At 47.4% G+C, this 16,671-nt stretch overlaps 1 protein-coding gene across 4 annotated transcripts in view; it reads right to left on the bottom strand.

Annotated features, from left to right (window-relative positions):
• The window catches only part of PTPRU (protein tyrosine phosphatase receptor type U), a 90,279-nt gene that overhangs the window by 16,452 nt on the left and 57,156 nt on the right, over positions 1-16,671 (bottom strand). For 3 of the 4 annotated variants that reach the window (NM_005704.5, NM_133178.4, NM_001195001.2), the window contains 3 exons: positions 6,304-6,494; positions 5,500-5,575; positions 4,921-4,997 (listed from right to left, as the gene is read on the bottom strand). In NM_005704.5, the coding sequence (NP_005695.3) occupies positions 4,921-4,997; positions 5,500-5,575; positions 6,304-6,494 (344 nt within the window). Of the gene's footprint in view, positions 1-3,202; positions 3,221-4,920; positions 4,998-5,499; positions 5,576-6,303; positions 6,495-16,671 lie in introns of all 4 variants that reach the window. The other variant, NM_133177.4, reaches the window with a different exon arrangement.

The following is a 16,671-nucleotide window of genomic DNA, read 5'->3' as shown; positions in this document are numbered from 1 at the left end:
ACACGTGGGATAACCAGAGCTTGTCAGTTATCTTAGCCCCCACACTTGGGATAACCAGAATGGACAGTACCCCTCCCCCTTACTCCTCAGTCACTCAGAGCGTGGGGGGCCTAGATGAGGGCTTCAGGATGGAAGTATATGGGCACAGACATTACTCATGGCCCTTGGATAAAATGTTAAAATCTTTAAGATCAATAATAATGACCCTGTTATGGTCACGTACTGTGCTAAGCACTTTACCAGTACCACCTCCCACGAGAGAGAGGCCAAGAGCTACTTCATCCTCCATCCCCAGAGCCCCCAAGCTGAGGAGAGAAACCTGCCCTCCGACAAGCCACCCCAGGGCCACAGCCACCCATGAGGTCCTGCCACAAGGCCTCATCTTTCTGAGCAAAAGAATTCACCAGATACCAAGGGCATCAATGCGGGCAATGCGGAAAGGGGAATTAGTACTGCAGGGCTGGCGCTGAGAAAACTAGCCCAGCCCCCTACCTCAAGTTTACACCCTCAACACAGCTCCCAGCAACTCCTCCGGTCTCGTGAACTTCCCAGGCCTGAGGAGCCCAGGGGCCAGACTGCCAAGGTTCAAATCCCAGCTCTACCTCTCACTAGCTGTGTGCCTTTGAGCAAAAACTCCTTCATTTCTCTATGCCTCCATTTTCATGTCTATAAAATGGAATAATTACAGCATTTACCTCTGAGGGCTGTTGTGAGAAGCAAATAAAGTAGTATGTTAAATGTCTGCCACTGTGTCTAGCACAAAGTCAGTACTTATTCAGTAATAGCCATTATTATTACTACTACTATTTTAAAGCTGAAGCAGTATCCTTGAAGATACAAATGAATCAAGTGTATCAAATGGAAGTCAAGAATTGCTGGGGCAGAAGGCGATTGACTATGGGGTGAAGAATCTGAGTCTTGGAGTTGAATGGACCTGGGTCCCTGCCACAGCTATGCCGAGCAGTAGCTGTGTAACTCTGAGCGCTGAGAAGGTGCTTCTCAGTCTTTCTTGAGACATAAATCTCCCGGGGGATCTTGTTAAAAGGCAGATTCAGATTCAAAGGTCTGGGGTGGGGCCCGGGATTATGCATCACCAGCTCCCAGGTGGTGTCCATATTGCTGGCCTCAAAACATCCTGAGTAGCCAGGCTCTTGGCCTCTCTAAGCCTTTGTTCTCCTCTGCAATATGAGGATAATAGCAAGACAAACACTCAGAGATTCTGCTGGATACCTGCTCACTGTTCCCACGAAAATGACCAAAACATAGTCAAAGTGACTAATGACGAAAAGCCTCCCAGTGACTCTCAGCCCTCAGCACTGGAACTTCTCCACGTCTAGCCCAATTCCCTCCTGCTGTCGCTCCATGCCACTGTCTCCACTGCAGCCTCGACCTCCAGTGCTCAAGCAATCCTCCCACCTCAACCTCCCAAGTAGCTGGGACTACAGGCACAGGCCACTACATCCAACTAATTTTTGTTTGTTGGTTTGTTTGTAGAAATGGGGTCTCACTATGTTACCCAGGCTGGTCTAACTCCTGGGCTCAAGCAATCCTCCCGCCTCAGCCTCCCAAAGTACTGAGATTACAGGTGTGAGCCACTGCACCCAGCCAAGAAATATATTTTTTAAAAGAAAAAGGAGACAAAATGGAAAAAGCACCCACAAAATAGCAAATAATCACCAGTCATTAAATATTATGAAAACAGTATATATGTATTAAAAATCCCCAGCCTAGGCAACATAGTGAGACCCCATCTCTCTCTCTCTTTTTTTTTTTTTTTTTTTTGAGACAGGGACTGGCTCTGTTGGTCAGTCTGGAGTGCAATGGCACGATCTCGACTCACTGCAACTTCTGCCTCCCAGGCTTAAGCAACCCTCCCACTTCAGCCTCCCTAGTAGCTGGGACTACAGGCATGAGCCACCACGCCCAGCTAATTTTTGTATTTTTTGTAGAGGCAATCTCACTATGTTGCCCACGCTGATCTCGAACTCCTGGACTCAAGCAATCTGCCTGCCTTGGCCTCCCAAAGTGCTGAGAAGACCCCATCTCTTAAAAAAAAAAAAAAAAGGAAAAAATTAGCCGGGCATGGCAGCACACGCCTGTAGTCCCAGCTACTCAGGAGGCTGAGGTAGAAGGATTGCTTGTGCATAGGACTTCAAGGCTGCAGTGAGCCATGATCACACCCCTGCACTCCAGAGCAAGAACCTGTCTCAAAAAAAAAGAAAAAAGAAATCAAATTAGAGAATAGCTAGATGAATTAGGGTAGTTTTTTTAATTTTAAAAGGCTAAAAAATGGGCCAGGTGTGGTGGCTCATGCCTGTAATCCCAGCACTTTGGGAGGCCAAGGCAGGTGGATCACCTAAGGTCAGGAGTTTGAGACCAGCCTAACATGGTGAAACCCCATCTCTACTAAAAATACAAAAATTAGCTGGGCGTGGTGGTGCATGCCTGTAATTCCAGCTACTTGGGAGGCTGAGGCAGGAGAATCACTTGAACCCAGGAGGCAGAGGTTGCAGTGAGCCGAGATCGTGCCACTGCGCTCCAGCCTGGGCAACAAGAGCGAAACTCCACCTCAAAAAAAAAAAAAAAAAAAAAAAAAAAAGCATAATATTTAAAAACAGACTATCCAAACTGCTTCCACCAAAAAACATTCAAATTAAGGCTAAATTGAGGGTAAAATGGTCGGGGTTGAGTTTCAGGCAAACTGATCATGAAGGTATTTGAACACTAGGGAAAGTAGTTTTAGGAGGCTGACCTGGGGCTGTCCAAGATCTTGACCCTTAAGCAGCAGAAACAGGGCCCTCCAGGGCAGCTTCCCCTGCACCCTCCAAAGGGTCCTGTAGAAGGTGCAGCTAGGGAGGCTAGGGAGGACTCCTTGGGAATGGCGGAGCCAGGGAAGGAAGGTGACAGACTGTTGTGACCAGTGCAGAATGGGCAGGGGAAGCACCCCCAACACTGCTGCCCCTGCTCAAGGCAGTGGAGGATGGGAGGGAACTGCTTACAATAGGAACACTCTCGAATCTTCAGCCCTGGGCAGCCCCTGGCCAGGCTGCTGAAATGGACGGTTGGTGCTGGGCACATAAGTAGAAAGGAAGGACAGAGACAGAGAGACAGACAGCCAGAGACCGTGAGAGAGTCTGAGATACAGCCAGTCAGACAGACAGGAGGAAGAGGAGGAGGAGGAGAAGGGGAGAGAGATACTTACTTCTCGGTTTATCCGAATCTTAATGATTCCAGTGAGGAAACAGTACAAAGCAAAAGAGACAGATATTAGGCCAGGGGCAGATGGAGGTGGACGGAGCACAGGAGTGGCCAGAATGGGCGATGTGAGCAGGGCAGGCAGAGCGGAGACGGGCAGGCCGGGCTGGGCTGAGCCACAGAGTGGGGAGTGGCATGTCCCTGCCAGGGCCCAAGAGGAGCCAACTGGGACCTTGGCAAGACCAAGGAGAGGCCCGCTGTCACCAAAGCTGCCCAAGTCTTCCAGGCTGGGCCTGGCCCTGACTCCAACCAAGGGACAGGATGAGTGGGGGAGGCAGCAAGGGATTCTGGGAAACATGGCATGGCACATCTGGCCCCAGGAGGAGGAGAAGAAGAGGGAGAGGAGAGGCCACCTCCAGAGACCCTGACTACCTCGGCTCCCAGACCTGTGCCTTGCTCTGCCTGGCCCCCCAGGCCTTTGCTTAGGCAGCTCCTCACCCGGGACACTCTTCCCTCTCCTCTCCAGCCACCCAGAGGCAGCTCAAGCCCTGCTTCCTCCACAAAGCCCGCCACACCAGCCCTGGCTCTGCCACTAGCCTGCTGTGTAACACTCAAGCTGTGTGATCTCTCTCCTGGCCTGCACTTGCTCATCTAATCTGAAGTTATTTTGATTTGTAAACATGTCTATCTGTCTCACCCACTCAAATAGATATGTTCAAGGAAAGCAGAGGCCATGACTGTCTTGTTCACATCTGTATCCCTGGTGCCCAGCACAATGCATGGCACAAAGGAAGTGCTCAAAATATATTTCATACGTGATTAAATGATGCTCTCCCAAACTTGGTTTGCTGTAGGGATTAGGGGCCCTGTCCCGCCTCGCCCCTCTTCCACACCTAGGAAGTAGACTCATCACCTCTCTTTGACACCCAAGCCCAGGCCTCCTGGCTGCCTGCTCTGTCTCTGGCCCCTCCCTCCAATCCATCCAAGTCCTGCTGCTGCTGCAGCAGGGGGCAGGACAGCCTCACAGCAGCAAAGGCTTTAGAGACACAGACAGGCTGAGATTTGCGTCCTTTCTTTACCACTCACTAGCTGTGCAACCTGGGACAAGTCGCTCCACGTCTCTGAGCCCCGGTTTCCTCACCTGTAAAGTGAGGTCATGGTGCTAACTGCCTCAAAGGGTGGGTGGAGGGATTACAGAAAAGGAGATCTTGGGTGTAAAGTGCTTAGCACAGTGCTTGGCACTCAGTACGTGCTGGATAAATGTGCGTTATTATTCTTAAAGGACCACTCTGATCATGGTCAAAACACTTTAACAACTCCCTGGTGCCCCTAGGAAAAAGCCCCCACTCCTGAGCCTGCCATTTGAGGTCTTCACAATCCAGCCCCTGCCTACCTCTTCAGCCTCATGGTGCACGATGAGAATCCCATTCTCCATGCCTCCCGCCTTCCTCACCTCTTGGCCTAGCTGTCTGCCTCTTCCCTTTGCTTTGCTTCTCTAAAGCACCTCATCTCTCAGGCCAACTCCCACCTACAGAAAGCCTTCCAGAAGCTGCTGCTCACTGTCCTCCCTCCTCTGAGCTCCCTGGCACTGACTGCAGAGATAGGGGCACTCCGAACTCAGCCATTTGAACCCCCATTTATCCCGACAGGTTTCTGCCCTGCCTGGATAGTAAGCCTGGAGCGGGCAGGGCCAGGTCTGCAGAAATGACAGGGCAAGGCACTCACATCTATGTAGTTGGCATTAATGTAGTCGGCATTGGGGTCTCCCAGCATCGGGTGCAGTTTCACTCGGTGCCGATCATCTGTAAACACAGAGCAGGTGGGCAGGGGCTGAACTGGGGAGCCCAGAGCTAGGCAGTCAGGGAGGGATTCCTGGAGGCTAGGGGATAGGGCACAGGCAGGGCAGCCAGGGAACCTAGAGTCTCAGGGCTTACCAGTAGTCTCTGGGCACCATGGGAGGCAGGACACACCAGGGGGTAGAGCCTGGGCTATGGAGTCAAGGAGGCCTAAGAGTGTATGCTGCTCAGGCAATTACTGGCTCTGAGACCTTAAGCAGGAATCTTAATCTCCCAAGCCTCAGTTTCCTTATTTGTAAAACAGGGATTATAGTATTTCCCGTTTCACAGGGAAATTGAAGGGAATAAATGAAACAAGCACAGGGCGTGACGTGTGGTAGGCCCTCAATAAAAGGTGGCCAATGCTACTATCATCTCTGAGGCTGCCCCAGCTCACCCTGGCTGTGTTCCCCCTCCTGATGCCCTCCCACCCACTGCCCTGGACCCCAGGCCCTTCCCCAGGACTCACAGGCAGGCATTGGCTCCTGCCGGCTGCCCTTGACCTTGTCTTTCTTCTTTGTGGCGTCCCAGCCTTCAAAGAAGCTCTACCAGAAAGAAAAGTGGTGGTCAGTGGGAGAGAGGGACCCTCACTGAGGGCCCCTTCCCCTCAGTGGGGATGATGTAGGCAGGATGGGGGTGGGATGATAAGGGCCAGATTCAAGCTGAACTTGGGCCTGAGATAAAGTCACTGTGTCACTGTGGGTCCTTTTATCAGCCAGGGACCAGGGTCAAAACCAAGGCATGTGGGGGGAAGGGAAATGAGAAAAGAGGAAAAGAGGGCCAGGGTTCAAAGACATTTTGGAATAAGGGTCAGGCTTAGAATAACGGTTAGAAAGAAGGTAAAGGTGAGGTCAGATTTAGATTAGGATAAGGGTGATGTCAGAGTCCAGACAGAGGTGGGATGAGATCCAGAGTTCAAATGGAGCTTAGGATGACAGTCAGGATCAATGTCAGGCTGGGATTAGGTCAAGGTCAGTGTCAGTGGGCAGATTCAGTTTAGGGACAGAATAAGGATCCCGATCACAGTCCACATAGAGATGGAGACGAGATTCAAGGTCAGATTTCAAATCAGGGTTAGCATGAGAGTGAAAAACCAAATCAGTCTAAAATTAGGATGAGGGTCAGAGTCGAGGTCAAAAAGGTTGAGTTGGAAACTGTCAGAGCAGGCGTCCAACCAGGACTAGGCTGAGGGTTGCCAGGGTCAGAGTCCACAGAGAGTAAGAGCCAGGTGAGGCCTCTGCAGGGATCCTGCTGGCCCGGGGCCGGCGTGCACCTCATACTCCTGCTTGAAGCCGTAACCCTCGGCCGTCTTCATCTGGTTGATGTGCTGCAGAAGGTCTGCGACACGCACCGCAGGGTGCAGCTGCCCCGTGTGGTATGGGGAGCCCTTCCGGCCACAGGGACGCCTCGGGGAGCCCCCCAGGAGGCTGCTGGCCTCAGTGACCCCACCGCTGCGCTGGTCTCCTGCAGTCAGAGAAAGACAAAAGGGTTCTTGACACACATGCCCCAGCCTCGGGGGTCCTGGAGAGACTGGGGTCTATGGGGGTGGGGAGGCACAGCCAATGCCAAGCATAGCTGGGTTGTTGGCTGGAGCCAAGCAGCCTAGCCAGGCCCACCCTGTGTGGTCCTGAACACATTCCCTCCCTCCAAATCTCGGTTCCACCTGTAGAATGAGCCGGTCAGATCAGGTGGCCTCCGAGGGCCCTTGCGGCCCTGCCTGGCTAGATTTCATTATCCCCTCACTCTATCCAGCGAGGCTTCACCATGCTACCTGCAGAAGGCAGCACTCCGCAGAGCCCATGACAGCTGCTTCTTCCTCCCCCTCTTCCAGAGAACAACCTGGAACACTGGCAACTCCCAGCAATTACCCCCATTCAAAGACAGGCAAATCAGAAATTAGCAGCTGCTGCCAACCCCTCTGCAGATTAACACCAGGCACCCGAATAGGCGCCTTTCTCCTGCGCAGGCAGTTCCACCGTCAGCCTGTGCGGGGCCGCAGCCAGTGGGGGAGTGGGTGGAGAGGTCCACAGCTCCTCACACACCCTGGGAAACCATCCTCCCCCGAGCCCCCAGGACCACCCCGTCCCCGGCTGTTCTGTTCAGCATTCCCAAGGACGTCCCACTCTGGTCTTGGAGATCAGGTCCTGGGACTGAGAAAATAGCCACACCCGCCTTGGGACACGCACGCCCACTCACTCATTTAATACTTATGCATCGCTTAACAACAGGGATGCATTCCGAAAAATGCATTGTTAGGTGATTTGGTCTTTGTGCGAACACCACAGAGTGTATTTACACAAACTCAGATAGTAGAGCCTACTCCATGGACCTGGGCTGCACGGCATAGCCTATTGCTCCTACGCTACAAACCTGTACTGAATACTGTAGGCAATTATAACACAATGGTAAGTATTTATGTATCTTAACATAGAAAATGCACACTAAAAATACGCTATAAAAATAATAAATGGGCCGGGTGTGGTGGCTCAAACCTGTAATCCCAGAAATTTGGGAGGCCGAGGTGGGTGAATCATGAGGTCAGGAGTTCAAGACCAACCTGGCCAACATGGTGAAACCCCGTCTCTACTAAAAATACAAAAAATTAGCTGGGTATGATGGCACGAGCCTGTAATCCCAGCTACTTGGGAGGCTGAGGCAGGAGAATCACTTGAACCTGGGAGGCAGAGGTTGCAGTGAGCCAAGATCGCGCCACTGCACTCCAGCCCAGGTGACAGTGCGAGACTCTGTCTCAAAAAAAAGAAAAAAAAATCATAATAAATGATACACCTGTATAAGGCATTTACCATGAATGAAGCTGCAGGACTGGAAGCTGTCCTGGGTGAGTCACTGAGTGACTGGTAAGTGAATATGAAGGCCTAGGACATTCCTGTACGCTACTGTGAGCTTTATAAACACTGTATGCTTAGGCTACAATACACTTATTTAAAAATAGTTTTCCTTCTTGAATAATAAATTAACCTTAGCTTACTGAAATGTTTTAATTTGAATTTTTTGACTTTTGTAATGACATGCACATAGTACAGCTATACAAAAATATTTTCTATCTTTATTCTATACTTTTTTCTATTTAAAATTTTTTTTCGTTTTTTAAATTTTTTTTGTTAAAAACTAAGACACACACACACACACACACACACACACACACATACACATTAGCCTAGGCCTGCACAGGGTCAGGATCATCAGTATCGCTGTCTTCCACCTCCACATCTTGTCCCACTGGGAGGTCTTTAGGGGCAATAACACACACGTAGCCGTCATCACCTATGAAAACGTTGCCTTCTAAGACTTGGAACCAACCCAAATGTCCATCAGTGATAGACTGGATTAAGAAAATGTGGCACATACACACTATGGAATACTATGCAGCCATAAAAAAGGATGAGTCCATGTCCTTTGTAGGGACATGGATGAAGCTGGAAACTATCATTCTGAGCAAACTGTTGCAAGGACAGAAAACCAAACATCACATGTTCTCACTCATAGGTGGGAATTGAACAATGAGAACACTTGGACACAGGGCGGGGAACATCACACACCGGGGCCTGTCATGGGATGAGGGGAGGGGGGAAGGATAGCATTAGGAGATATACCTAATGTAAATGACAAGTTAATGGGTGTAGCACACCAACATGGCACATGTATACATATGTAACAAACCTGCACATTGTGCACATGTACCCTAGAACTTAAAGTACAATAAAAAAAGAAAGAAAGAAAATGGTGCCTTCTTCTGGGACACTTCCTGAAGGACCTGCCAGAGGCTGTTTTACAGTTAACTTTTTAAAAAATAAGTACACTCTAAAATAATGATTAATAGTATATTAAATACATAAACCAGTAACACAGTCATCATTAACTATTATGTACTGCACATAATTGTATGTGCTAGACTTTTTTACAACTGACAATGCAGTAGGTTTATTCCAGCTTCACCACAAACAAGTGAATAATGCATTGCACGATGACATTATGATGGCTACAATGTCACTAGGTCATAGGAGTTTTTCAACTCCATTATAATCTTATAGGACCACCATGGTATACGTGGTCCATTGTTGACCAAAACTTCATTATGCAGTGCATGATTGTACGCATGTCCCTCCTCCTGCTCTGGGTGAGGCTGTGAGGGGCTTATTCAACTCCAGCCCTCCCCACATTTTCAAGCCAATCTCTGCCCAGATCTAAGCTGGCAGGGTCCAGTGGGGGACTGTCAGTGGGGCCTAGATAACCTGCCCCCACTCCCTGTGCCTTCACATATGCTGTCCTTCTCCCTCCAAAACTCCTCCTCCCCCTACTTTTCTTGCCTGATGAACTCATACTCATCCTTCAACTCTCAACTGAAATGACCCTCCCGGCAAGAACCCTCTCCGGTGCCTGGCCTAGAATTCCTACTCAGCAACTAACTGGTAGAATGAATGCAGGATCACCAGGAGACCCCCTGATGAGCTCAACTTCCTCAAACTCCAACCAGGGCAGGGAGGCTGCCCCATTGTGCTTGGGTTCCACCTTCCTGTGCCATGGTTTGAAGATGACTTCACCTCATTTGCTTCTCTGCTCTCAGGAACCACGGTCTTCAGCTGCCTATAGTTCAATGTCTGAAAGCAATTGATTCCTATATTTTAGCTGGATTACTGGTTGCTTACAGCTGGATGGCAAATCAAGTACCAGTTATGCCATTGTGGTGGGATGCCCAAACCCTTAATTTTACAGATGGGGAAACTGAGGTCCAAAGAGAAAAGACTGGCCTAATTTGGTGGTTGCCAAAGTGTTTCAGAAAATCGTAGGTATGCAAGATGATTAAGTGGTGTCCCATTAAAAAGAAGAGCAAGAGGAGGAAGAGGAATTCTGTGTTTTAAAGGAGTCTGTGAAATTCTGGTTTAAACAAAAACAAACAGGTTTCTTCCCTGCAAGACCTCTCGGGGCTTTCGGCATGTTTGTTTGCATTTTAAATCTTCAAGAGAGGAGTGGAAACAGCAATGTTTCATAAACATCTTTTGCCACGGAGGGCTTTTCTTGTTTGTTTCATGAAACATCCTCAGGAGAACACTGTGCAATGTAGACACTGAGAGATGGGCTCTGGAAAGACTTCAGATCAATTCCCAGCTCTGTATGTGACCGTGGGGATGTTACCTACTCTCTCCAAACTTCCATTCTCACATGTCAAGTGAAGGTAAAAATTGTTACAATCCAATATGATGATGTAAATATTAAATATAATAATGTATATAAAGCACCCAGCCCCGTGCCTGGCACACAGCGAGCACCTGCAAGGGCAACTGTTGACATTACTAGTCATTTCCAGGAAAGGAAGGAAGCCCCTGAGTGCCAGAAAGCCATGGCAGCTGGCTGACAAGAGTCTTGGTGCTTCTCTGCTGTAAGATCTTGGGTCTGGGACCTAAAAGGCAGCTTGAAAAGATGATTCCAAGGAGTGTCCGTAACGCACCACCAGGCAAGTGCAACAGTTTCAAGAAGAGGGACTTCTGTTGGCTCAAAGAACTCAGAGAAGAAACTGGCGAGATGGAGAAGCCCTCGTGCTCTTTGTGGAAAGTGGGCCGACAGCTCCACAGAGAGCTCTCCTGGCAGAGAAAGGAGCAAATGAGGGTGGCAGAGAATCAAAGAGTTTATCCCAGAGATCCTGAAAGGCTGGCAGCCCTGGCACAGCCCCACAAGGAGGCATGCAATCAGTGCACAGTGGCTGAGGACAAGCAAAAAGTCCCGCCTGGAAAGCCAGAGCCACATCTGGGCAGCTGACAGCTGAGCCTAAGAATAACACAAGATGTTCTACAAATAAGACCACCAGGAAAGGAAGGGATGATGATGTTCCCAAAAGGACCCTCCAATTCCTGGGCCCAGAGAGGACAGGTCCCTACTCTCCTTGCCTATGAGTTCCCCTGTGGGACTTGAGACACACTTCCTACCCCACCCCATCCCCTACCCCTAAGGACCAGTTTGCCCATAGGCCCACCTTCAAAGTCTCCACTTTGGGACTCTCCCAGGCTCTTCCTAGCACCATCGTGACTGTGGAACATCTTCTGTGAGTAACCACTGGACAGCTGATGCTTTATGGGGAGGGCTGAGGCCCAGAAAAAAGAACACTAGGTTTGGAGTCAGAGAGACCTGAATTCAAATTCTGGCTCAAGTTCCTTGACCTCTCTGGGTCTCAGTTTCTTCTTCTGGAAATGAAAATCCTCAGCCCTCCCTCAGTGGTGGCACTTTCCCTGATTCCCACCACCCTCAGATGAGGAGAGGCCCCCAGTTATTCAATGTGGTAGCACCCCAAACTTTTCCTCCACTGTTTGCAATTAGCAAGTAAGTTTCTTTCCTACAGAAGCACAGCCTGTAATAAGAGCTAGCCATATCTAACATATTGAGTGCCCAGCACAATTCTTAAGTCATTTATTCCTTAGAATATCCGTATGGCAGGGGCACTACCATTGTTCCTCTTGTGCAAACGAGAAAACTGAGGCCCAGAAGAGTTAAGCTACTTGCTCATTAAATGGAAGCACTAGGATTCAAACCCAGGCTTGAATCCACCTGACTCTGAGACCCTGCTGTCCCCACTGCTCTCTCTGCTTCCCTGATTAAGGGGCATTGATGGGCATGAAAAAACCTGGCACTTATTTGACAAACAATTTGGCCAACACCGACTGGCACCCACAGGAGTCAATAGCTCCAGACGTACAAGGCCCAGGAGGATCTGAGGGTTTTCGCAGGCAGGATTTCAGAGACAACAGGGCTCATTCCAACACCTTGGGAAGGTTCCAGCTGGCTTTTTCACACCAGCCCCGCCACCAGTTACCCACAGTGATAAGTCCTTCATTTAAAATTTGCATAGAAGGATCCACCAAAATCAACATGGCTTTCCATTCTAAACCACAAAAACCTGGCCTCCACTGTTTGGAAAAGAAGGAAGTGGAAGGCAGACCAGCAAGTGGAGGGCAGAGAAGAATAAAGAGAGAGAATGTGCTGAGGCACAGCTCAGCTCATCTCCTGGACACGTTTTGGTTTTTTTTTTTTTGTCTTTTTTTTTTTGAGACAGAGTCTTGCTCTGTCTGCCAGGCTGGAGTGCAGTGCAGTGGAGTGATCTCGGCTCACTGCAACCTCTGCCTCCCAGGTTCAAGCAATTCTTGTGCCTCAGCCTCCCAAGTAGCTGGGATTACAGGTGCCTGCCACCATCCCTGGCTAATTTTTGTATTTTTAGTAGAGACGGGGTTTCACCACGTTAGCCAGGCTGGTCTTGAACTCCTAACCTCAAGCAATCTGCCTGCCTCTGCCTCCTCAAGTGCTGGGATTACAGGTGTGAGCCACCGCGCCTAGCACCTTTTGAGTTTCCAACCATCACCTCTGCCCAGGCTCAGTGCCCCTTCCTCCTCACCATCAGTCAACCATACCCATCTCACCAAAATGCTGACCACTCCTGCCCAAGGGCATATTTTCTCAAAACTAACAGCACTGATTGTCCCCACTATCCACATAGCAATTAGCCTGGTCCCGACTTCCCTGGGTCAGTCCTGACTCCCCAACTCATCAGTGAATCCCAGGAGCAGAGCCCATGTTTCCTGCCTCTCTCTGTCTCTCAGCAAGACTCAGCGGTTAGGCATGAGCCCACACCACCCTGATCTCCCGCTCTCTCTAGCACCCACTGGAGGATTTAGTGCAGTCACACCTCTCCCTGTCTCCTCCCATGCCTATCACCACACATTTGCACATACAGTGCCTCCTCTACACATGCCCTTTCCTTCCCATCTCTGCGGTCTGAATCCTACCCATCCCTCGAGGTGCAGCATGATGCAGTAGAAACAAATTTGCAATTCAGAAAGACTTGCATTTAAGTCCTGACTCTGCCACTTTCTGGCTATTTAACCTGGACAAGTGACTTCCCCTCTCCAAGCCTCTGTTTCCTGATTTGTAAGCTGAAGGGTTAATAACAGCTACTAAGCAGGCAGGTGCGGTGGCTCACACCTGTAATCTCAGCACTTTGGGAGGCCAAGACGGGTGGATCACTTGAGGTCAGGAGTTCGAGACCAGCCTGGCCAACATAGTGAAACCCCGTCTCTACAAAAAATACAAAAATTAGCCAGGCATGATGGCAGGTGCCTGTAGTCCCAGCTACTAGGGAGGCTGAGGCAGGAGAATCACTTGAACCCGGGAGGCAGAGGGTTGCAGTGAGCCAGGATTGCACCACTGCACTCCAGCCTGGGCGACACAGTGAGACCCTGTTTCAAAAAAAAAAAAAAAAAAACAGCTACTAAGCAGGGTAAAATGGTATAAAATGGTGAAAATTTAATAAGAGAGATTACAAGGAGAATATGATTAATAAGTGCATAACACTGAGTTTAAAAACATAAATAAAATGGCCAAATACCTAGACAAATATAACTTATCAAAAATATAACTTTCTATTTTTAAAAAAATAGAAAGCCTGAATAGTTGTTTAGTCCTTTAAATATACCAAATTAGAACTTTAAAATCTGGCCAGACACGGTGGCTCACACCTGTAATCCCAGCACTTTGAGAGGCAAAGACAAGTAAATCGCTTGGGCCCAGGGGTTCAAGACCAACCTGGACAACATGACAAAACCCTGTCTCTACAAAAAATACAAAAAAAAAAAAAACAAAGTAGCAAGGCATGACAGTGGGCACCTGTCATCCCAGCTATTCAGGAGGCTGAGGTAGGAGGATCACTTGAGCCCAGGAGGTCGAGGTTGCAGTGAACCATGATCACACCACTATAGTCCAGCCTGGGCAACAGGGTGAAACCCTATCTCAAAAAGAAAAAAAAAAAAAAAAGAAAGGAAAGGAAACATCATAATCATCATGACCAAGTTGAATTTATCCCAGGAATTTAAGGTAATTTTTTAAAAATCTAAAAATGTCACTCATCCCATTAGCAGACAAAAGGGGAAAAAATAATTATCACAATAATTGCAGAAAAAAGTATTTGGTAAGTTTAATGCCCACTTAAAACCTCTCAGCAAACTAAAAACTAAAAGGAATTTGGTTAGCCTGATAAAAACATTTCTACCAAAACCCCAAAGCAATCTTCATTCTGTGTTTAAATGTTAGAAACATTCCTGTTAAAGTCAGGAAAAGAAGACAAGGATTCCAGCTACAACCAGTCTATTCAACACAGTACCGGAGGTCCCAGCCAAAAAAACATGGGGAAAAAGAATAAGAAGTGGGAAAGAAAAAACAACTATTTCTTCTGCAAAGGATATTCACAGATCCTTTAACTGCTCAGAAAGCCTGAAACATTCTACAGAGAAATGAGAATAAGAAAGCATATCGAGAAGTATGTATATAAGGCTAGGCACGGTGGCTCATGCCTGTAATCTCAGCACTTCGAGAGGCCAAGGTGGGTGGATCACCTGAGGTCAGGAGTGCGAGACTGGCCTGGTCAACATGGTGAAACCCCATCTCTACTAAAAAAAAATACAAAAATTAGCTGGGCATGGTGGCGCACGTCTGTAGTCCCAGCTACTTGGGAGGCTGAAGCAGGAGAATCACTTGAACCAGGGAGGCAGAGGTTGGAGTGAGCTGAGATTGCGCCACTGCACTCCAGCCTGGGTGACAGAGTGAGACTCCGTCTCACAAAAAAAAAAGAAGTATGAATGTAAGATCAATATGCAATCAAAAATAAACTGCATTTCTCTATATAAGAAATGGAAATGTAATATTTGAAAAGTGTACCATTTGCAATAGAAGTCAAAAATAAAGAACCTAGGGACATCTATCTAAAAAAAGATGTACAAGATTTTATGGAGAGAATTATTGAAAGACATTCAAGACCTAAATAAATGGGGCAATATAAATCACTTTCATGGGTGGAAAGACAATTTCATAAGATGGCGATTCTTCCAAATTGATCTATAAATTCAATACAAAACCATCCAACAAAGTTTTTCAAGAAACTTAAAGAGATGACTCTAAAATTTATAACAAAGAGAATTAGCCGAGCGTGATGGCTCATGCCTGTAATCCCAACACTTTGGGAGGCTGAGGCGGGCAGATCACTGGAGCCCAGGAGTTTGAGACCAGCCTGGAGTAACATAGTGAAACCCCGTCTCTACCAAAAAAAAAAAAATGCAAAGATTAGCCAGGCATGGTGGTGCGCCCCTGTAGTCCCAGCTCCTCGGGAGGCTGAGGTGGGAGATCGCTTGAGCCCGGAAGACGAAGGTTGCAGTGAGCCCAGATTGTGCCACTGCACTCCAGCCTGGGTGACAGAGCTAGATCCTATCTCATTAAGACAGAGAGAGAGAATGAAAACAAAAATAGCCAAGACATCCTTGATGAAGCACAAAGTTGGCACAGCTTCATGTTTCAGATATCAAGACTTAAATAGCCTCGATAATTAGACCGTGTGGTTAGGAATCAACCAAACCAACCAATGAAAGAAACAGGGAACTGAAAAATGATCTACTTATCTGTAGAAATGGGGTGTGCGAGAAAGATGGCACTGCAAATCAGCAGGGAAAGCGTGAACTATAATAAATGATGCTGGGACAGTGGCTTATCACCATGGAAAAAATAAAATCCTTAACTTATACCACCACACACAAAAATCAATTCCAGATGGATAAAGATTTAAATATAAAATGTAAAATGTTATAAGTTCTAGAAAAAAAGCAAAAAATATTTTATAACTTTGGATAGGGAAAACTTCTTTAAAAAACACAAAAAGTAGAAATCACAAAGAAAAAGACTGATGAATTTAAATACACAAAAATAAAAATCTTCTGTTCATCCAAAGACACTATAAATAACCTAGGAAGATAAGCCACAAATTGGGAGGAGATATTTGCAATTCACAAGTGACAAATGATTATTATCCTAAATATATAAAGAACTCCTAAAAACCACTAAGAAAGCAACAGAAAACCCAATAGAAAATTAGGTGAAAGACATGAACAGGCATTTCATGGAAAAAGAGACCTGAATGGCCATTGATGACTTGAAAATACGTTCAACTTCATTAGTCATCAGTGAAATGCAAATTAAGACTATAGAGAATTACCATTTTATACAAACTAATGTGGCAGAAGTGAAAAAGGCTGGCAAATTTTGATCTTGATGTAGAGCAACAGAAAGTCTTACACACTGCTGCTAGGAAAGAAAACAGGCAGAGTTGCTTTGGAAAGCAACTTGGCACTCTTATTAAGCTGAAGATGCACGTACTCCATAATCCAGCAATTCTATTTCTAGAACCTTGTGTGCAGGTGCATCTAGACATCCACATCAGAATATTCACAGCAGTCTCATTTGTGATAACAAGAAAACTAAAAACCAATCGAATGCCCATGGATGGCAGAATGGAGAAGTCAATTGTGATACAGCCATACAATGGGAAACTACGCATCAGAGAAAGTAAATGAACTGCAGCAAAACATCCACATGGGTAAATTTAAATATGATGTGGAGTTAAGTAGTGTGTGATTTCATTTTTATAAAGGATGAAAATGAGCAAAACTATACAATGCGTTGTTTGGGGATATATGTACACATGGTAAAACTACCCCCAAAAGTCCGGGCGCAGTGGCTCACGCCTGTAATCCCAGCACTTTGGGAGGTCGAGGCAGGTGGATCACGAGGTCAGGAGATCGAGACCATCCTGGCTAAC

The sequence above is a fragment of the Homo sapiens genome, chromosome 1 (genome assembly GCF_000001405.40).
Source record: "Homo sapiens chromosome 1, GRCh38.p14 Primary Assembly".
In the NCBI taxonomy this organism is placed as follows: Eukaryota; Metazoa; Chordata; class Mammalia; order Primates; family Hominidae; genus Homo; species Homo sapiens.
Note: the sequence above shows the minus strand (reverse complement) of the source record. Positions and strands in the feature narration are given on the sequence as shown.